Source organism: Homo sapiens, chromosome 11, assembly GCF_000001405.40.
Source record: "Homo sapiens chromosome 11, GRCh38.p14 Primary Assembly".
NCBI classification, from domain to species: domain Eukaryota; kingdom Metazoa; phylum Chordata; class Mammalia; order Primates; family Hominidae; genus Homo; species Homo sapiens.
The window spans coordinates 49,113,268-49,136,100 of record NC_000011.10 but is presented as its reverse complement, the minus strand read 5'-3'; the positions used below and the strand labels follow the sequence as shown (position 1 = coordinate 49,136,100).

Below are 22,833 nucleotides of genomic sequence, written 5' to 3'. Positions count from 1 at the left end.
TATGTTCTTAATTTTTTAGATTATTTTATTTTTCTGATACATCATTTATCTGAAGTTACCATAATTATTGAGTTATTTCCTCTTCTGGTAAACATTTTAATGCCATTCAAAAGCTGGATACTTTTATATTCTACTGAGAATTAAAAATACTAAAATATGTTTCTTAGATATTCCAAAGTTCATTCTCTAAAGTTCACCTTCCTTTTGACTCTTTGTCTTATGTTGTCTCTCCCTTCTGCATATTTTTTTTCCTGAAGGCCTATGTTATGTTCTTCTTATTAGCCCACTCCTCAGGCAAGATCTAGATTTATTAAATATTTTATTTGTTTGTATTTAATTTGACTCATGTGAAGCATAGTCTTAGAAGGTTATCCTGAAAATGCTATATTGAAAGAGTTAGGATAGTTCAGGGAATGATCTGAGGAAATAAGTTTCAAAGACATTAGACTAGAAAAGACAAGATTAGTAAAGATATTGTAGCTCTTAGTTCTTTATATGTTTAAGTACTAATAAATGACATATATATATTAGAGGAATTTTCTGTAAGATACAAAGCACTGTGACTTAAATAGAACATTTCCAATTTTATGAAACACCTGCCATATGAAGGGAAAAAACCATGCATTCTCATGCACAGGGTCCTGAAGAATTGAAGGTTCATGTTCTACCCATAAGGAAAACAACAGCTGGATGCATGTCTGGAGGAGCTCCTCGGCTTGTCTCATTGCATCTCCAGCTTTCCAATTGCACCTCTTGCCATGCACATCTGGGCTGCACTTAGAAAGTGACCACACTCAGAGCAATAGAGATGGAAAGTCCTGTCCATTTTAGTCATTTTTTTTTAACCACCCTTTTCCAGCATCTTTTTCTTACGGCAAGCCTCTTGATTGAGTGGCCTGGCGTTTGTCTTATTCAGCTATATTTGTGACAGGCTCTGGTAAGACTTGGCAGAAGCTGGGCTGGGATGGAAGGGGAGGATTTTGAATATTGTACATGTAGTATATGAAAGACAAAGAAATTGTAATTCAGAAGTAGGCAACTTTTCATTTATATTGTGAACGGTAAATTATTTATATAAACAACATATCACAAATGGGGTGATTTTTCTTACTCAAACCATGGAAAAAGAAGAACTTTCATTGTCCTTCTCCTCAGAAATACATAATAACACACATAGCAAGAATTTCAGAAATAATACCCTCTGAAATGTATCCTCCGAGTTGTGAGAGTAAAGGCATTTGAGTTCCTGCTGAGGTGTCTGCAGAACTGGGACATTATCAATGACTCAAACACCTGGAAATGGCATTACCTAAAAACCAAGACTAATGGTCCTAAGAGGAACTCCTAAGGTTTCTGGAAGGCATGAATACTAACTTTCCATCTAATGAAATCCAGCATTTCAAAATAACCCAGTTAATGCTGGATTGAGAAAAAATAGCTTTTAAAGATTATACTGGAGTAATATGCATATTCAAGTGGCTAGAAATTTCCTATGTGTTCAACAAGTATCACTCTGACAGAATGAATCCTAGAAACTAAGAAACATATTAACAATTCCTAAGAGGCAAAAAAAAAAAAAAAAAAAAACAAAATAAATAAAACCAAAAACACCCATCAGCACGTCTCCGAGAAGCTCTTAAGTACTTGTTTCCCACAACCCTATAATGTATTCTAAGTAACTAGGAGCTGACCAATGTTCTGAGGCTCCCAGAGAAGTGGTAGTTGAAATGTATTCAAGATTTCTATGACAAACAGGAGTTTGAGGAAAACCTGTTCTCAACTCAGTGAAGACCCCCCCAATCTAGTTCAGAACTCCAAGAACTCTGTTGTGCCCAAGAAGCACCAATCCAAAACATCCCCTTATCCCAATAAAGCCTCAGAAAATGTGCAATTGAGATCTCAACCAGAAAACTATGACTCTTCCACAAAGATACAATTCCATGGAGAGCCCAAGAAGCCCCTCATGAATGGATTCCAAAAGTATCATCAAGATTCGTGATTGAGTAGGAAGCTGCAACAGGTGCCACTGAGTAAGACCATGATAGAGACTGGCAGATACCATCAGTATACTCTGAAGAGCCTTAAGGAACATAAGAGTCATGCTGAGGAGTTGCTGAAATACTGCAAGGTAGACCTGAATCTCTGGCTCAATTGTCTGTCTCAAAAAAATTATGCTGCATAGACAGTCAACTTCTAATTAGCACAAGAACATGAGCATCACAGGAGGCCCAAACACCAGGTTTGATAGAAAGATCTGCCATCCCATCAGAATGGAATCTGAAAGAAGAATTTGAAGAGGAGCAGAGGCTGCTGGGTCCAGGAACAAATCCATTAGAAACCATTTGGGTCAAGTATAATTCCTCACAGGGATTAGGAAAACAAGAAGGAAGATGGAAAGAGGATGAAAGTAGTAACTGCTCCGACTCTAGCAGTGGGAGTGAAGATGAAGATGGCTAGTCTGAGGGCAGCAGCTCTAGCTCAGCTTCCTCAGGGTACTCCTGACTCAGGCTCAACCTGAGCCTGGTTAATACCCTAAAAGGTTGGACAGTCCTTCCAAGCCAAAAGTCCATCCATGTTATCTATGTCAAAGGGAGGGGACCCTCCTCCTGCTCCTTTTTACTTCCTTGCTTTTTCCCTTCCCTCCTTTCTCCCCCTCCTCCTCTGTACAAAGTGGGACGGGTTATAAACAAGGAACTTGATGCAGTGCACTACTCTATATTAGGTCCATAAACCCAGGAAGTGGGGACCAACCATAGAGAACAAATATTCGTATTAGCCAGTATTGCCTCCTCACCCATATACACAACTAGCCAGAGAGAGGGAGTTCATGGAATTGAGGTTTTTTGAATAAACAATGAGATGATTGGGCTATGGGGTATTAGACTGAGTATTCCAGAAGTAACAAGTTTTTCTTTCCTTATTTTCTGCCAGCAAGAGGTGGTAGGGGGACACTGAGTCTGTAATCTCCACCTTCTTTGTGAAGTGTCCCTCAGGACTCCTGTGCTGAACGTAGAGTGAAGAGTAGCTGGTGGGAGTTAGGGCAGGTGCCTTAAGAATGTTGCCAGACTCCTGCCGTCACTCTCCCCACTCCCTGAAGTAAGGACTTGGCCATTCCCATGCTTGAGTGTGGGCAGAGTGATGTAGGGGGCAATATTTTTACATGTATATCTGATTCAGCTCCCAAAGAGACTTCTTACTGATTTCAAAAACTTGAAATTAAACATGGAAATGTATCTATTTCACTTGAATAAACTTCTCCATAGAATCAATGTTTTGTGACTGGGCAGGGCACTGCTGCTCCAAGTGGTGTCTGTTGTATTTTTTCTCCTGGGTGGAAGCTCCAGATTCTTCCTGCTGCCTCAGGTGCAAGTCCACCTCACCTTTATCATTCAGGAGATACAGAAATATACATGGATACCTAGAAAGATACAGGAGTAGATATGCACACTACACTGTTCTCCTGGTCCACCTGTGAATTCACCAATACCACATAGCTTTAATTATTTTGGTTTACTGCTATCTTTTAAAGTCAGTTGAAGGCTACTGCATTCTCATACTTTCCTCTGTTTTCATGTTCTCATTAATGTTTGCATCATAGAAGAAGTGGCATCCATTTTATATCTATTGATTTTAGTGTTTTTGTTCCTAGATTTCTTAATAAATTATAAGTGATTTTCTAGGTAAACTGTACCAGAAAATAATGGTAATATTTATATTTTTAATATTTCAAATCCCTTATTTATGTGTTCTTTTAGAAAATACAGAGCAATATTAAATAATAGCAGTTATATGTTTTTGTATTGCTTCTAATTTTTAAGCTAATGGTTACACCACTTACAACTGTAACAATTATGCTAATATTTGAAATAATAACATATTAATAAAATGCCAATTTGGATTAATCAGTTTTATTCCATAATGTGTATTCATTTTTGTCAAATTTCTTTTATTATGTATCAATGTAAATTTTCCTTAAGGTATTTGTCAAAAATCTCCAGAGAAACAGCATCAATAGGGCACTGTTTGTGTGTGTGTGTGTGTGTGTGTGTGTGTGTGAATGAGCATGTGTGTGTGTGAGCATGTGTATGTGTGAGAGAGAATGTGATTTTATAATGAGAAATTGGCTCTACAATCCTATCATCTCTAAACAAGAAGCTCTGGAAAAAGCTAATGGTGTAATTTAGTCGTAATCTGAAGGCCTGAAATCCAGGGCAGCTAATAATGTAAATCCTAGTGCAATGGCAAGAGATGGTATGACACATCTTAGCTTACCAGTAAGGCAGGGAAAAATAAAAAGGTTGAATTCCTCTTTCCTCTGCCTTTTGCTCTATTGGGTTTTTTCATGGGAGAACGGGAGACAAATGAATACAGACAGAAGAAAGTTCTCTTGGCAGCAAATTATTTCATGCGCTCAGTAATGGTACTTAATACACAAAAAGTAAGGAAACTGGACAATTTGCCACATATTTTGGAGGTAAAAGCAAGATAATTTCCTGAAATGGAAAGTAAAAGTACAAGAGAAATCCAGATGATTCCTAGTTATTTTGACATTTAGAAAAAGGTAAGCAGGTTTTGTCAGGGAAGTTGGGAGTTCTAATTTTTGAAATGCCCATTACCTATCCCAGTGCATGTAAGAATCTGGAGCCCAAATATTAGTTTACTACTCCATGGCCGGGCACGGTGGCTCACGCCTGTAATCCTGGCACTTTGGGAGGCCGAGGTGGGCAGATCACGAGGTCAGGAGATCGAGACCATCTTGGCTAACGTGGTGAAATCCCGTCTCTACTAAAAACACAAAAAATTAGCCGGGCTTGGTGGCGGGCGCTGTAGTCCCAATTACTCAGGAGGCTGAGGCAGGAGAATGGCGTGAACCCGGGAGGCAGAGCTTGCAGTGAGCGGAGCTTGTGCCACTGCACTCCAGCCTGGGCGACAGAGCGAGACTCTGTCTCAAAACAAAACAAAACAAAAAAAAATAGTTTACTACTCCATAATATGTATTACATTTGTTTGGTTCTGTTAAAAAACCAAAGTGACAATCATTAATTTAAAGATCCTCATTGGCTTTATCTGTGATTCCTGAAGTTGGCAACACTGTATTTCATAAAATAGAATAAGTGTGCACAACATGTACCCAAAAACTTAAAGTATAATAAAAAAAAAAAGAAAGAAAAAAAATAGAGTAAGTGTTCTTATAAGCTGAGAAGAGCTTGGTTTTATATACAGAGCTGAAGAAAGCAAAAACAATGAACAGAAAACTGGCTGATCACCTCAAAGTTATGTTCCTTGTAAGGCAGGGACAGGGAGAAAGAGTACAGAAAAATAACTGATTGGTTAATATCAGAATAGTTCAGGTTACTTTTTGGGGTAAACATTAAAACAGAGAGAACCTCAATATCATGCCGACTGAAACTACCCTATTTGGGAATTTACTTGTCATAATCTCTATCTTCTGATTTCTATTAATAGGACAGTCAGAAATCAACCCAACAACGAAGACTTAGTTTTGGTTTGGTGATGTAGAACTTCAGTATGGGAAACTTCATTTTGGTTTTTAGTCTGCTCTGTTGGGGCCCAGCACAGGAGCTTAGTCCAAAACAAGGGCCCCTATAATTTTTACTGAACAGTTTAGAGTCTGGAACAATGCCTTGCACTCACATTTAGTGAGTAAATATTGAATAGATGAATACATCAGTGAAGCATAACTTTGGGTAACATTATCAGGTATTAAAGCATCACACCATATGACACTAATTTTGAGCATAATCAAGGAGGGAAAGGTAGCAAAACTGAGCACTTGGACAGTCTAATAGTTGGATATGAAACAGAAAAGAAGGAGACTTCCAAAAAGTCTGCTAAAGGGTGTTCTCTGAGGTAGGCTGGAAGTCAGATGAATATAAATTTTGTCTGAGAATCTAATAAAAATGAGTGTTTTCAGAATATGAAGTTATAAGAATAAAAGGAAATCAAGAAGAAATAAGTAACCAACAGTATTATTGAAAAGAGAGTGATTAAAAGGAGGTTAGAGATAGGGTATTGTACGTAACAACGTTGAAGTGGATGGTGACTTAAACAATCAAATGGAGTAGACATGATGGAAGGCTGTAGAGTTGGTTGTAGAAGGAAAGGTAAGAAAATGTAAGGGTCAATTTAGAAATATTTTATCAAAGGGTCTATTTCATGAAATGTTTTCAGTAAAAGTGAATTTTTAACGGCTGCTCGTTTTAAATAATATAATCCACAGACATTTATAAGAGTCTATTTAAAGTTCCAGGCACTGATTCAGACATACATAAATTGATCACTATCTGTGTGATGGAATCATTCGTACCCCAAACCTCAGCATCACGCAATATACCCATGTAAAGAACCTGCACATTTACTCCCTGAATCTGAAATAAAAGTTGAAATTATAAAAAATAAAAGTTAAAAAAAGAACAAATCATAGATACATAAAATCATGATGAATCTCAAAAACATATTAAATGACACAAAGGATTATATATTGAATGATTACATGTGTAATATTTATTAAAAGTCAAAACTTGATAGACAGGTCAGGTGGGGTGCCTCACACCTGTAATCCCAGCAGTTTGGGAGGCCAAGGCAAGAGGATCACTTAAGCCCAAGAGTGTGAGACCAGCTTGGGAAACAGAGTGAGACCCTGTCTCTACAAGAAATTAAAAACTAGCTGGGTGTGGTGGTGTTTGCTTGAAGTACAAACTATGCAGGAAGATGAGGAGGGAAAACTGCTTGAGACCAGGAGGTTGAGGCTACAGTGAGCTGTGATAGTGCCACTGCACGCCAGCATGGGCAACAAAGAAAGACTCTTCTTTACAAACCAACGACAAAAATAGCAACAACAAAAACAGAAATCTTACAGACAAGAAACAGAGCAGCGGTTCCTTGAAGACAGGGATGTGAGTAGAGATTGACTATAAAAGGGGAGAAGAGTGCCACAATAAACATATGTGTGCACCATGGAATACTATGCAGCCATAAAAAAGGATGAGTTCATGTCCTTTGTAGGGACATGGATGAAGCTGGAAACCATCATTCTGAGCAAACTATTGCAAGGACAGAAAACCAAACACCGCGTGTTCTCACTCATAGGTGGGAAGTGAACAATGAGAACATTTGGTCACAGGGTGGGGAGCATCACACACCAGGGCCTGTCCTGGGGTGGGGGAAGTGGGGAGGGATAGCATTAGGAGATATACCTAATGTAAATGACGAGTTAACGGGTGCAGCACACCAACATGGCACATGTATACATATGTAACAAACCTGCACGTTGTGCACATGCACCCTAGAACTTAAGTATAAAAAAAAGCAGGGGGAGAAGAGATGTTTTTGAAAGAATTAAAGTGTTCTAAAAGTGGATATGGTGATCATGCATAAAATGAATTTAACAGCAATTTATTAACGTCTTTAAACTCTATACATTAAGTAAATTTTATGGTATGTAAATTATACCTCAGTTAAGCTGATGAAATAATTGAGAGTCTCCACAAGCTTTTGTTGATGTGGGTTTTTTAATGTCAAGATATGCTGTATTAGAAATTAAAGCTGAAAAATATTAAATATCTATTTATTAATAACTTAAAATAATTATAAAACCATAATTGGTAATGTAATATTTCTATAAAAAATAAGTATACTTTGCAAAACCATAAAAATAAAGAAAAGAGTGGCTTTGATTACATATTTACAAATCCCTTTAATGTCTGGCTTAGTAGAAGTCATCTGGATTCTCACATCTGCTTCTCTATTCAATCTTTTGTGATATTTCATGTCATGTAGCCCCTGGGAAAATCTCCTGTATACTCATGGGATAATAAAATTTCAAAGGGCAATTAATGTCTAAATAGTATTATTATTATAAAAATAGTTTTGACTTTATGAACCTTAAAAATATTCACAGCCACACATTGTGAACCTCTGTAGTAAGGGCCCATTTCCTGATCACCTACTGGTTGTAACGTTGGGGTAAGGAAAGAAATGTCTAAAACTAGGGCTGCCTGGGACCCTGGACATTGGGTCTATATCTTGTTCCTTGAGCTCCTAGACCCTGAAAAGCAAGAGTCCTGCACAGTAGCCTTCCCACTGTGCTGTAGTTGTATGGGCAAAAGGGGATGCATTTCCTACCATTCTTTTCACCCACCACAAACCGCAAGAAGCTACAGTGGCAAGTTTACATCCTGGACTTCTATTTTTGTGCTTTCCAAATAGATTTTTTAAAATTGTCCATCCTTTTACAACCTAAACATATCATCTTTTATGAACATTGGGCTAAATCAGAGATTCTCAAAGTATGGTTCAGGGACAAGCAGCAACCTCTTATAAGTTGCCTAACACTCAAACTCTCTGGCCCCACCCCAGACCTACTGAATGAAGAATAGCCATGGGTAATCCCCAGCAATCTGTGGCCTCAGAAGCTTTCCAGGTGATACTGATGCACCAGCTAGGCTAACTCATTAGCCTGGCTGTTAATCTGAGAAGGATCCCTTCTCAGAGAGCAAACAAAGCACAGCTGGTAATGAAGACTTTAGCCCTCTCCCATCTCCTCCTCTTCCTGGATCTGGACAGTGCAGGCAGCTACAAAGCATCAGTTCTGTGTGGTGGGGCAGGCAGGATAAGACAAAGGAGGTTCCTTGAGGAGAAGCACCAACTGTAAGGTGAGAAAAGTGAGCTTCATGAACTAGGCTACCTGACTTCTGGTTACTGTTTGCTTTTCTTTCTCCGTAGTTTTCACTGAGCCTTTAATAAAGCCTTTAACCAAAGGTCCAGTTGCATCTCTTTCCTATGTTTCAGAATAGATTGAAGCTGAGTTCAACAAGCATATTAATGTGGAAAAGCCCCATTTGTGGTCACCTTGATGGTGGCAGTGGTTATCCAGAAATCTTTTAAAGGAGTAGAACTGGAATGAGAACCACTCTCTGCACCTGGAGACCCCCCTCCTGAGTGCCTTAACAGGTTCTGGACTTTTTATGTTAAAAAGTTTTGTTATTGTTAATTAAAAAGCCTGTGGTTATTATACAGATACCTGTCTACTTTTATTCTCCCAATTCAACTGTGCACATATATTTTTGCTACTTGTAAAAACTTTCAAAATGAAAAATAACATAAAAATAAATTGCATTATATTATTTTAATCCATGATACATAACTAGTCTTTGTCACTATTATGTTAATATTCATTAACATAGTTGGTATAAATTATTTTAAATGTTGTGTTTCAGTGGGAGAAACATTAAGAAAATTAAAATTTCATCAGATTCACTGGAAAGGGTTCTTTTATGTTTATTGAGAAAGGCAAAGACTGGAAGAAAGAGATCTGATGTGAAATCACTTTCAGTTTTAATATAGTGCTTGGGGAAAATGCATGGTGAGCAAAGCTTCTAGGAATTAAAAGATGTTTTAAAATGTATTTTTTCTTCTTCAACATTTAAGTTAAGAAGTACATGTGCAGGATGTGCAGGTTTGTTACATAGGTAAACGTGTGCCATGGTGGTTTGCTGCACAGATCATCCCATCACCAAGGCATTAAGCCCAGCATTTATTAGCTATTCTTCCTGATGCTTTCCCTCCTTTCACCCCCTACCCTTGACAGACCCCAGTGTGTGTTGTCCCCCACCATGTATTCATGTGTTTTCATCACTCAGCTTCCACTTATAAGTGAGAACATGTGGTGTTTGGTTTTCTGTATCCTGCAGTTTGCTGAGGATAATGGCTTTCAACTCCACCCATGTCCCTGTGAAGGACATTGTCTCGTTCCTTTTCATGGCTGTGTAGTATTCCATGGTGTATATGTACCACATTTTCTTGACCTGGTCTATCATTGACGGATATTTTGGTTGATTTCATGTGTTTGCTGCCATTTTTCTCTGCCAGCCAGTACCACAAGAAGGGAAAATTTCTCTTGATTCTTCCTGGTTTTCCCTGTGAGAGCCTCTTGGCATTTCTGTTGGAAAGGTCTGCCCTTTGGGTGAGGATTCTTCTATGTCTGCGACCCTAAGGGTCTTTGCACGCTCACTCTAGCCCAGCTTTGATTTTTAGCAGTAAATTAAAACCATTTGGTTTATTTTCTGTTTTTGTGGACTTTGGTAGAATCTGCCCCAGATAAACATATGCATGGGTCCTGTTTTTCTCAGTGCTGTACCTGTCTCTATCCAGAACTGATTGAGTTGTCTTGTTACCTCTGTTCTCTAACGGTTTACAAAACAAACAAACAAACTAAACCTCATTAATCTTTAGTTTCTCTCGCACTTTTTTTCTTGCAGGGAGGCGGCAATAGTATTTTCATCCTTCTCCATTTCTGAGCTGCAACCATAAGACTCTATTAGGTTTTATGAAATCCCTGAATGTCCTAATAATGTCCTAATGGCTGTTACTTTTTTCAAACCAGGTACAAATCAACGATACTATAGTTACATCAGAGTTAGATTTTTTATTTCTTTTAGTTATCTTTGCTATATAGCTGTTTCCAGACATTTTCTCCTTAGAAATTAAAATTATTTTTAGTAGGCCAGCCTTATTTTTTGCATAGTGTTTTTCAAATGCATTTATCTAATTTCCTCCCATGGTTACATGCAGGTAAAATGTTTTTGGCAAAAATACTACAGAGGTGTTTTGTGTCCTTAGTCATCTACCTCTGTGTACATTAAATTATATACTTTCACTTATCTATTATGCCTCAATAACACTGTGGATAGAGCTAATGTGGGGTAGAACTTTGATGATATGTAAATAGGCTCTTTCACAAAATCTATGACTTAGTTATTTTATTATCCATTAATGATTCTTGCCTGATTCAGTTATTTTTATGGCATCTGTAAAATGAGGATTGTCCACCATTCCTTCTATTGCATTAGTTGGCCTCTCCAGAATTATGTAGTTAGTGTTCTTTTGTATTATTAAGGATGCAGGTTCTTTCCACCTTTCTGTTTTCCTTAGAGTATTGGCTTTTGTCTTAGATTAGTTCACTATGAGCCCACAAAATGGTTACACAAGCAAATATTGCATCCAAATAATGTCCAGAGGCAGAAAAAGCAATTGTTTCTTCTATGTGTCTCTTCTGTAGCAAGAACACCTTTTACAGAATTCTTCTACGAGTCTACTTTCTTGTTCTCTTAGCCAGAATTGGAGTACATGTCTTATGATGACCAATCAAAGAGAGAGAAAAAAAGGGGGAAATCTTGATAGCTTTGGACAAAATAATGATCCACTGCCTGCGGCTACAGATGAGCCCAGGACCTGTGATTTTTATGTTTTTGTAGAAGAGATAACAGATATGAAAAATATTGGATTTCTATTAGGGAACTGGAAAATAGTGCTATAGGCCAAGGTTGTCAAGAAAGAGGGCATGTGATCAATCTGTTGCACTGTTTGTGTCTCTCCATCCTATTTTAGTCTTTCAGAAAACATGGCCTGTCATGCTATAGTGCATACACAAATTAGTAAAAAAGGTCTTAAGCTCCTTTCATATGCCTTGGGGGAAAGAATGACACTTTCCTTTTATTTTCTCAGAAACATGGCTTCTGCTATCACACAGTGTTCTACCAGTGAGCTCACCTGCTCGATCTGCACAGTCTATTTGACAGACCCTGTCACCATTGGCTGTGGGCACAGATTTTGTAGTCCCTGTCTCTGCCTCTTGTGGGAAGATCCACTAACTCCTAATTGCTGCCCTGGGCGCAGGGAAATATCACAGCAAATGTACTTCAAACGCATTACTTTTGCTGAGAAACAAGTTATTCCTACAAGAGAATCAGTCTCCTGCCAGTTATCAAGCTCTGCCATGCTGATCTGTAGGAGGCACCAGGAAATCAAGAACCTCATCTGTGAAACTGATAGGAGCCTGCTGTGTTTTCTCTGCTCTCAATCCCCAAGGCATGCTACTCACAAACACTATATGACAAAGGAGGCTGATGAATACTATAGGGTAAGTAAATGCTACTGATTGGACTTTGAAATATGAAGAACCCTGAATCCTACAGGTAATAAGGAAAGATATACTTATCATCATCATTATTAATAATTTTATGCAATAAACAAACAGAATTGCTTATGACCATAAATTAGACACTGTTCTAGACACTAAGATAAAGCACTGAAGAAACCAAACATCCCTGCTCACCTGAAATTTAAATTCTCTTGGGTTGAGGGAGAATAATGATGATAAAGTTGATGAACATTAGGGTTCTGGTATTTCAGTGTAAGAAGCTCTATATTAATCACTAGTTTCCATGATAGTCATTGGCTAACACAGTCATGATTGCAGTGAATCTATTATAGAAAATTCTAATAAATACTGGTCAGTATGCTCCAATAGTACTGTAGATAAGTTGAGGGCTAGCATTTTAAAATTAAATATAAAATAAGAGTGACTTCTGAAAATTGGCAAGGTTGTATCAGTTTCAGTGCCAGACTTCTAAGATAATGGGTCTTGTTTTCTAAATTTGGGAATTCTACCTTTGGTTTCATTGACCTCTCAGACTTGATAATCAGTGCCCTTAAGAAAAGCCCCTGCATGTCTGCATTCTGCACTCTTTACTTGTCCCATGTCTGTACCTCTTTTGGAAGTATCTGAAATATACTATATTTTATTTTCTAGTGCTCAAATTTATAGTTTTGTTTTTCAGAAGAAACTCCTGATTCAAATGAAGTCCATCTGGAAAAAAAAACAGAAAAATCAAAGAAATCTAAACAGAGAGACCAACATAATTGGAACATGGGATGTAAGCAGTAAGCTAATTTCTCTCAGAACCAGTTTGGAATAGAAAATGTGACTTGTGGGAGAAGAACTTGAGTTAACCATATGTCCCCTGAATAGGATGATCAGAAAAAGGACCTACATGTGTTTCTCTACAATGTAACTTAATCTTTAGTGTGAGATTTCATGTTGAATCCAATATATAACTAAAAATATCCTGATTTTTGTGAATAAAGCAGTATCTACCAATAATACATCAGCAGTGACAAGAAATGTGCTAAAAATGGCATGCAAGATCACTAGAATGAAGGTAAAAATGTGGTTCTACAGCAGCTTAACAGACATGAAATGCTAAAAAAAAATAGCTTCTAGGTGAAAATCAATCTGATGCTAATGTATTAGTAAAATTTAGAAATTTACCGATGATAATGTTGGAAGATTTTAGGAATAAGAAAGCTGAAAGTTAGAAAAGCAGTAAAATTATTTGGACATGTGAGTAACTCCTCTTGATTAATTCATGAAAAAGAGTCAGGCAGTGATGAGAGATATGGCTATAAATGTACTTATGGCCAGGTCTAGAATGTGAATGCTTAGGTAAGAAATTAGGATTATATAATCCATTCACAAATATGAATTAAGTACCTAAAACTGAATAAGTAAATTAAACAACATTTTTATTCTCAAAGATCTCAAGCACTTCTGAAGGGGACATATAAACAGGGACCAGTAGAGAATAATAATAATTGATACATGATACTGTGAGAATGCCAAAGGGGAACAAAAAAATCTTGTTGATCATTTCAGATGGATTTTCTGAGGAGTCCTGCATTCTCTTGAGGTCCTATCATGTGTTGCTCACTGCTGTAGCCCAACAAAATGATACAGAAGTGGACAAAAGAAGAAATAGATCACTTACCCTAGGAGTCTATAATCTAGTGGGGGAATTCAATCTACAAATTAAAATGTAAACTTTATAATAAATAATGTTCGTGAAGTGCTTCAGGGAAAAATAAAGCAGAGAATGGATACAAAGAATCCAGGTTTGTAGAATGTATGCTGGCCAAGAAGAACCCATTTTCAGGGATAAGAAGGTGCAGAAGAAATGAATCAGTGGCTTTGTAAGAATGTATTTTTCTGTGGCAGGAAAAACAAGGTATGGTTAAAAGGAATAAGTAGAAAATGGTGTCAAATGCAGAAGGAAGGTAAAGAATTCTAGGACTAAAGCATAATATTTGGATTTAGAAAAAAGAAGTTCTTGGTAAGTTGTAATGTTTGGTTCAGGAAAGAGTAGGGAATAAAGGTAAAGGGGTCTTTAATCACACACATGAGCACAGCAAGTTTGATCACATTTGATTAATAAATTTACCTTTGATAAGGATAGAAATGTTTTAGCAAGAGAAGCTAGATGAGGTAATTGGGACAAGAATATTTTAATTTTTTTTCCAAAGTAATTTGCAAAATTTGCACGTATTTAAAGGTGATGTGGAAAGAAGGGAAAAACTGTGTGAAAAAGTAATTGAGATCAGGCGCGGTGGCTCATGCCTGTAATCCCAGGACTTTGGGAGGCCGAGGTGGGCAGATCATGAGGTCAAGAGATTGAGACCATCCTGGCCAACATGGTGAAACCCTGTCTCTACTAAAAATACAAAAATTAGCTGGGCATGGTGGCATGCGCCTGTAGTCCCAGCTACTCGGGAGGCAAGCTGAGGCAGGAGAATCACTTGAACCCGGGAGGCAGAGGTTGCAGTGAGCTGAGATCATGCCACTGCACTCCAGCCTGGGTGACAGAGGGAGACTCCGTCTCAAAAAAAAAAAAAAAGTAATTGAGTAGCCTGGCATGGCGACATGTGTCTGAAGTCGCAGCTACTCAAGAGGCTGAGGTGGGAGGATCTCCTGAGCCCAGGAATTCAAGGCTGCAGTGAACGATGATTGCACCACCATACTCCAGCCTGGGTGACAAACTGAGACCTTGTCTCAATAATAATAATAATAATATAATTGAGTGAAAGAGAGATAGGGGAAATAAAGACACAGTGACAGAAAGACAGAGACAGAGAAAATCAAAGACAAGCCAGGGAAAGAATGAGACAGAGAAATGGAGCCAGAAAGAGAGAGTAGGCAAACAATAGGGACAGAGACAGGAAGACAGAGGCAGGCAGAAGGAAAGAATGAACATTGTAAGAAAGTAATCTAGACAAGGGGTGGATAGAGATGTGTAGTCTTGGGTAATAGGCAAGCATAGCCAAACACTGGTGAAAACACCGAGTGTTTTGGAAATGGAGGTACTTTAGAAAGATGCAGCAATATCTTATGTTCTCTATTTTCCTGAGGAAGTAAATTGTTATGAGTAGGAGTATTGAGAAAAATGGAATAAAATTTAGGTATAATGATGAAGAGGTTAGAACATTATATAAGACAACATAAATTTGATCTTAATTTATCTTTATTATCTTTATTTTTAAAAAGTAAATATGGAGGTTTGAGGGAAAGTAGGTAGAGTGATGCAGGGAAATGGAAGGAAGGAAGGGAAGGAGGAAGAAAGGAAGATTTATACTGTATTTGAAGTGGAAAGGCATTAAACTATATTTAATAGAATAGCACAAAACATGAAACAAAGCAGAATAGCTGATAAGGAAAGAATAAAACCACTTAGACACATGATTTAATTAATCAAATATCACTACAGGTTTTTATAAATTTGCAGAGCATGATGATTAGCGCTGAATATCCTAAGGTGTGTCAATACCTCCGTGAAGAAGAGAAAAAGCACTTAGAGAGCCTGGCAAGAGAAGGCAGGTTAGTTTTTCAGCAACTCAAGAGAAGTCAAACTAAAATGGCAAAGATGGGTGTACTCCTGAGAGAAATGTATGAGAAACTGAAGGAAATGAGCTGTAAAGCAGATGTGAACCTGTCTCAGGTAAAAACTGAAGGAGGTCAGGGTGCTGAACACCACCCTGCTTGGGAATCGTATCGCTAGAGTCTATATCCTTTTTGATCTATATTACTTTTCCGGTTCCAAATATTCAGATTCTGCCTCTCCTGACCTTATGGTGACAGGTTTCACTCCTCTGTAGACCCAGTCTCACTCTTTCTTGTCCCATAGAGGAGAAGGAAAACTATTTGGAAAGGTTCTAGTAACAAATTCAGGAAAATTCTCTTCTAAAATTATCTTACTACACCCACTGATTCTTAGTAGTTGCAACAGAGCAGCTCGTGAATACATGATTCAGTTTTGTATAAGGATGTGTCAATATGTGAAAGTGTGAGATTTATGAATTTTATTTACTCTTTTAGTTTTAAAGTCCTAAATTTGGGCCCCACACATCCTTATAAGAACTTTGTGGGGACCTCTGTCAATCTTGTTGCAGATGTTTGTACAGCAGAATGTCTTCCCTTCCTCTTCCCATTTGTTCAACCTCAGTCCATCTGACTATGTTTCATCAAGAGTGTAATTTTATCAGCTATATGTAGATGTCAGACTGGGTTTCATATTTATAAAGAAAAAGAAAATGAAAAAATGCCTTTATCCAAAGAAGGAAAGTGGAAGACATTAAGTTTTCCAATTCAGTGCATATCCTCAGACTGCATGTCTAGGATATATTGAGAGAACCATTTTGTGCTGCAAACTAAGCAATCCTCTCTCTCTTTATAGGATTTGGGAGACATAACGAAAAGGTAAGTTTGCCCCTCTATCCAAGTCCTGGTAATTGTGACAATAATAAGGCTGTTTCTGCTGGGATCGACTTTTAGTGAGGAATTTCTGTCTGTATTTATTCCTTTCTTTTCAAAGGTCATCCAGGCTTTGTATATTGACTACTTCAGATGAAAGTGAAGGATGGGAAGCAGTTTTAATTGCAAGGCCTAATGTAGAAAGAAGTTTCAATAAGACAACTATTTTTCCTGCCTCTAATTTTCTACATCCTAATTATTTGAAGGTTATTCCAGGTTGTCAATGGGAAAGGCAAATAATCTCAGAGAGGCAGCTGATGGAGAGATGGTGAAAATAGGAGAAAGGGAACATCACCAAGAAGGAATGTAGTATAGAGCTGAGGCTCCATATGTAGCAGGTGGCATGTTCCAAAAATTTGACAGCTATCAGATTTCAGAAATTAAATTAGTATTTCTGCATGGCTCACCTAAGGAAGCTGCAAAGGTGAGAACTGATATAATTATGACTGAGATAACCTACTTTACTGGCATAGAGGTGTTAAAAGCAGCAGAGCACATCATAAAATACAGTTACAATTGCAATATGTCTTAGTTCTTGAGTTCAAGTCACACTCTTCAACCTAATTGTGAGGATTCTGATCAAGCATCTTATTAGTGGATTGCTAATGATTCCTTTGGGACTGGTAATAAAAAGTAGGTATTTTTCTTTGCAGGAATGAGTTTCTGAGGCTGGCCATGCCTCAGCCTGTGAACCCACAGCTCAGTACATGGACCATCACTGGGATGTCAGAAAGGCTTAACTTCTTCAGAGGTGAGAGTGTGAACTGCACTAATGTTTCCAACATAAGTATTTTTATATGGGTGACCTATATTCACTTTAGTCTATATTCACTTCTCTGTCTCTATTATTATTTTCAGTGAACAAGCAGGTAAATATGGAAACCTTTATAACCAATTTTAAAACTGTTAATAAACATTCAGGAAAAGCTAACTGAAGTCTGGAATAAATAAACAAATAAGAAATACAGTACGTAACATGATTATTTTAAGTGATTTAAAAAAAAAACACTCAAAAAAAGACCTGGAGGAATGCTATAAATAAAGCATTCATTTTTCAGTGTAGCATATAAAACTGCATATTCATTCAAAGCATTTCAACTCTGGTTATATTTACATGATCCAATTCTTAGAAATATCTTAATGTTGTTATTCGAATGTTTACCTAAAGATTGAAGTTTTTAAGGAATACATTTGAAAAACCACAGGATTCTCAAAAGCAGAAAAACAAGTTTGTAAACAATAGGTACAACAACAAAGTAGTCTGAAAGAAAATCCCTTCACTGTGTAGAGGGCTATACAGACAAATGGAAATGGAGGGTGAGTCTGGCATATAGAAGAGAGGCAGCCATGGGATGAGATGAAGAGAATTCTGATTTAATGGTGTCCAAACCAGAAATTCTGGGAGAGAAACCGCCTTTTTAAAAAGGCACATATAGATTTTCAGTTTATTTCACTTTTGCTTGCTTAAGTTGTGAAGCCCTCATTACTTCTTGGCCTTTTGGCTAAGATCAAGTGTGAAGCCCTCCCATCTTAGGCAAAGTGGTATTGTTTAGGACTAATAATGGTAACAATGTCATAGCTTGAGTATAATTAATAATATTTTTATTATTTTTAGTATGTTTATTTTATTTTGTGAAAATTGGTTAATAAGGAGGCTTAAATAAAGGGCCATTTTGATGTTTTCTTGGCATCTTATGAATAAGCTGGCAAATTTTTAGTAGTCTAGTAAAAATTAAATCAGAGCTTGACATCCTACATCTTTATGTTTTCTCTAAATTTTCTTTCATCTTAGTTGCTTGATTAAAGATTCATTTGCCCTGCAAATGGGCAAGAAGCTGTTGCTAAACTGTCTCCATAATTCCTCTGATATACTCTGTATGCCACTCGTGATAGAGTGGTGTTCTGGAGCCAGTTAGTACTGACTCATGAGAGCAAATTGTTAAATGTTTTGAAATTTTTTGACTGATTATTAAATTGTTGGTAACTTGAAACTGTCCTTAGTGAGGTGGAAATATTCCTAATAAACAAAACCAGTTGCTTTTGTTTATTTGTTTGTTTTCAGGGATTGGTTGTTAAGCATTTGCCAGACTGCCTCTGCACCTGTACCTCTGAACTGTTAAACTGTTTTTTGCATTCACTGTTTTCTTTTGCTACAGTGTATATCACCTTGGATCGTAAGATATGCAGGAATCACAAGCTTCTGTTCGAAGACCTGAGGCATTTGCAATGCAGCCTTGATGATACAGACATGTCCTGTAATCCAACAAGTACACAGTATACTTCTTCATGGGGAGCTCAGATCCTCAGCTCTGGCAAACATTACTGGGAGGTGGATGTGAGAGACTCTTGTAATTGGGTTACAGGACTTTGCAGAGAAGCCTGGACAAAGAGGAATGACATGTGACTTGACTCTGAGGGTATCTTTCTACTCCTGTGTCTTAAAGTGGATGACCATTTCAGTCTCTTCTCTACCTCCCCACTGTTACCTCACTATGTTCCAAGGCCCCAAGGCTGGCTAAGGGTGTTCCTGGATTATGAATGTGGGGTAGTGAGCTTTGTTAATGTTGCCCAAAGTTCCCTCATTTGTAGTTTCCTCTCACGCATCTTCTATTTTCCTCTCAGACCTTTCATTTGCCATGGATCTAAATAATCAGGGACAGGTCACAAACCTGACCAAGGCCTTGGGAATTCTAATAGCAGAGGAGGCTCCTATTCTGGTTACTTTCTTAATGGGGAAAATCAGTCATATCTCATCACCTTTTACTTCATTTTACCTCCTGGATATATATTTATTGTATCATTTTTTAAAGTGTTGATAATGTACATTTGTCATTTCTATTTTATTTGAATAGATGTAATGTCTCTTATTATATTGTTTAGGATGCATGTTCTTTTAAATTGTTATCAAAGCGTACTAGAGGTGAAAGAATACATGAGCATGAAAACCCAGCTAACTGAGTCAAATTAAAGCACAGACAAGTTGCCTTCCAGATAGCCCTTATTCAAAACTCAGTGTCAGCCTAAAATTCTCTATTCCCTGCCTTCATCTGGATAAAACTTTCCCTTCACCAGTTCCCACCTTTCTGAACTAGACAAGGTCTCAGATGTCAAGAATGGCTCATACATTTCCCCTGTAAAACTCCTAACAGAATTTGGGTCTTTTTTTCAAGTTTGTAAATTACAAAAAGGGAATGCCAATGATAGTTCTTCTCATTCATTATAGGAATAAGAAACAGTCTGATGATATGAGAGATATTCAAGAAATATGTAAATAATTAAATGAATAAACATGTAAAATTATTAAAATCAAAAGCTATAGAACCAACAAAAATATACTACAGTATAGCCATAATTAGCAAGACAGAACAGGCTGAGAAATATCATTACGTAAAGGATACATAGATATGGTACCATGGTACTTAAGCCTTCTTGTTCAATTGAACCTTTATCATTTTGTAATGCTCTTCTTTATTGTTTTTGGTTTAAAGTCTTTTTTATCTTATGTAAGAATAGATGCTCCTGCATTTTTTTGTTTTTATTTGCATGGTAGATCTTTCTCCATCCTTTACTTTGAGCCTTTGGATGTCATTATATATGAGATGGATCTCTCAAGACCAAATACACTTGGGTCTTGTCTTTTTATTCAGTTTGGCACTCTGTGCCTTTTAATTGTGGAGTTTAGATCATTTACATTTAGGATTTGTATTGATATGTGAGATTTTGATCCTGTCATCATGCTGTCAGCTGGTTGTTTTGTAGAGTTGATTGTATAGTTGCTTTATAGTGTCTGTTAGCTATATGGTTTACTCAATATTTTGGTCTCTTTCAGCAGGAACGGAGCTTTCCGGTTGCATCTGTTTGGCCATCTTCCATTCTTTTTTAGCTGAGTGGTTTTTCATACCTTGTATACACCACGTTTTATTTATCCAAACACCAGATGATGTACATCTTAATTGTTCCCAATTTTAGCAACTGTGATTTATATTTCTGTTCAAATCAACCCACATATATTTCATTTATTGTGGGTAGTTACTTGGGGTGAAAGTACTGAATTATTTAGTGGATTTTTTTAATCATTTAAGAACCTGTCAAAATACTTCTTTAAAAAGTGACTGTACCATTTTACATTGCCACCAGCATCTTGATAAGCGTTCTAATTCCTCTACATCCTCACTGACATTTAGTATTTTCAACCTTTATTACATAAGCTTTTCTATTTTTTAGTGTATAGTAATAGCTTATTGTGGGTTAATTTGCATATATATTACTAGTGATTAATGGTGTTGAACATTTTTTTTTTTTTTGAGGGAGGATCTCCCTCTGTCAACCAGGCTGGAGTGCAATGGCAAGATCATAGCTCACTGTAACCTCAAACTCCTGGGCTCAAGGTATCCTCCCACCTCAGTCTTCCAAGTAGCTGGGACTACAGGCACACATCACTGCCCAGCTAATTTTTAAAATTGTCTGAGGAGATGTGGTCTCTCTGTGTTGCCCAGGCTGATCTTGAACCACTGGCCCCAAGTTATCCTCCCGTCTTGGCCTCCCAAAGTGCTGTAATTATAGACATGAGCCACCGCACCTGGCCTTGAGCATCTTTTACTATCGTTAGTTTCCATCCAAGTATCTTCTTTAGTGAATCATCTGCTCATTGTACAATGATTTCATTGGATAGTGTGTCTACTTGCTGAGTTGTAAGAGTTCTTTTTGATACAAATCCTTTATCACATATACGTTTTGCAAATATAATTTCTGCCAGTCTATGGCTTATATTTTAATTTTGTTGTCTCCTTGGAAGAACAACATTTTTAATTTTAATAAATCCACTTTGTCATTTTTTAATGTTTCCTTTTTTGACACCACATGTTAAGAAATACTTGTCTAACACAAGGTCACTAAATTTTTTTATATGACTACATCTAGAAGTTTTATAATTTCAGCTTACATTTAGGTAGGTTAGTGATCCATTTTGAGTTAATTTTTATGTACAGTGTAATGTGGGTTTGAAGTTCATATTTTTTGCTCCTAAATTCCAAAAATTTAAACACTATTTGTGGAAAAGATTATCCTTGAATCTTTTGAATGATCTTACCACCTTTGTCAAAAATCAATTGACCATATATGTGTTATCTACTTCTGGACTCTAATTCTGTTTTATTGTTGTAGATATTTATTTTTCTCACCATACACTAATATACTTTCTTGATCCCTACAGACTTATAGCACATTTGGATACAGATAATGTAAATCTCATTTTATTCTTTTTTGAAGAGTACTTTGGCAATTTTATAACTTTTATATTCCTCAGTACTTTCAACAACTTTATTGAGATATAATCTGTATACCATAAAATTCTCCCATGTAACATTCTCCCATATGTAACTTTCAATGAATTTTAGTATATTTATTGTGTTCCGCAACTGTCACCATAATTTAGTTTTTGACATTATCATTACTCCAAAAGGATGCCTTGTGCTGGTTTACAATTAATTTCACCTTCTACCCTAGTACCAAGAAATCAGTTACCTCTCTCTAATGTTCTGCCTCTGAATGTTCCATATATATGGAATTATACAATATGTAGTTTTTAGGTTGTCTTTTAACTTGGCATAATATTTCCAATATTTATCCATATTGTAATATAAATCAGTATTTCATTATTTATTATTTTTCTTATTAGCATTTCAATGTATGAATAGTTCACATTTTGATATTCATTAAAGAGTTTATCAAGACTTGGATTGTTTTACCTTTTTAGCTATTATAAATAATGCTATCATGTATATATGAGTTTAAGTCTTTGTATAAACATATTTTTATTTCTTTTAGGTAGATACTGAGTAAAGGGATTCCTGGATTTTCTGGTACATTTATGTTTATTTATTTATTTTTTTAAGAAAACAAACTTTTTCAAATTGGCTGTATTATTTTACATGTTTACCTAGAATGCATTAAAATTCCCATTTTTTCATGACCTTAACAACAAATACTATTGTCTATGTTTTTTATTATAGCTGTTGTATTGAGCTTATAGTGGCATGTAATTGTGCTTTTAATTAAAATAATCTCAATTACTATGATGTTGAGTATCTTTTTTGTACTTATTAGTTATATTAGAGATGTTCAATTCATGCACCATTTATAAAATAAACGTGAAATGTCTTAACTTACCTATTAAAAGATAAAAAGTATTTTTATAAGCTCAAATATAATTCCCAGCTATGTCCTGTATACAAAAAAAGACACCTAAAGCAAAATAATTCAGAAAGACTGCAAGTAAAGAGAAGGACAAAATTATGCTAGAAAGATGGAGACATTAAGAAAGAAGGATCTGAGAATCTGATAAGAAAGTCAGTATAATTTAAATCAACAACTTTCAATGTGACAACTTAATG

The 22,833-nt window shown here is 36.6% G+C and overlaps 2 pseudogenes; both read left to right on the top strand.

Annotated features, from left to right (window-relative positions):
• Positions 1,282–2,294, top strand: UBTFL9 (UBTF like 9 (pseudogene); annotated as a pseudogene).
• Positions 11,531–19,091, top strand: TRIM77BP (tripartite motif containing 77B, pseudogene; annotated as a pseudogene).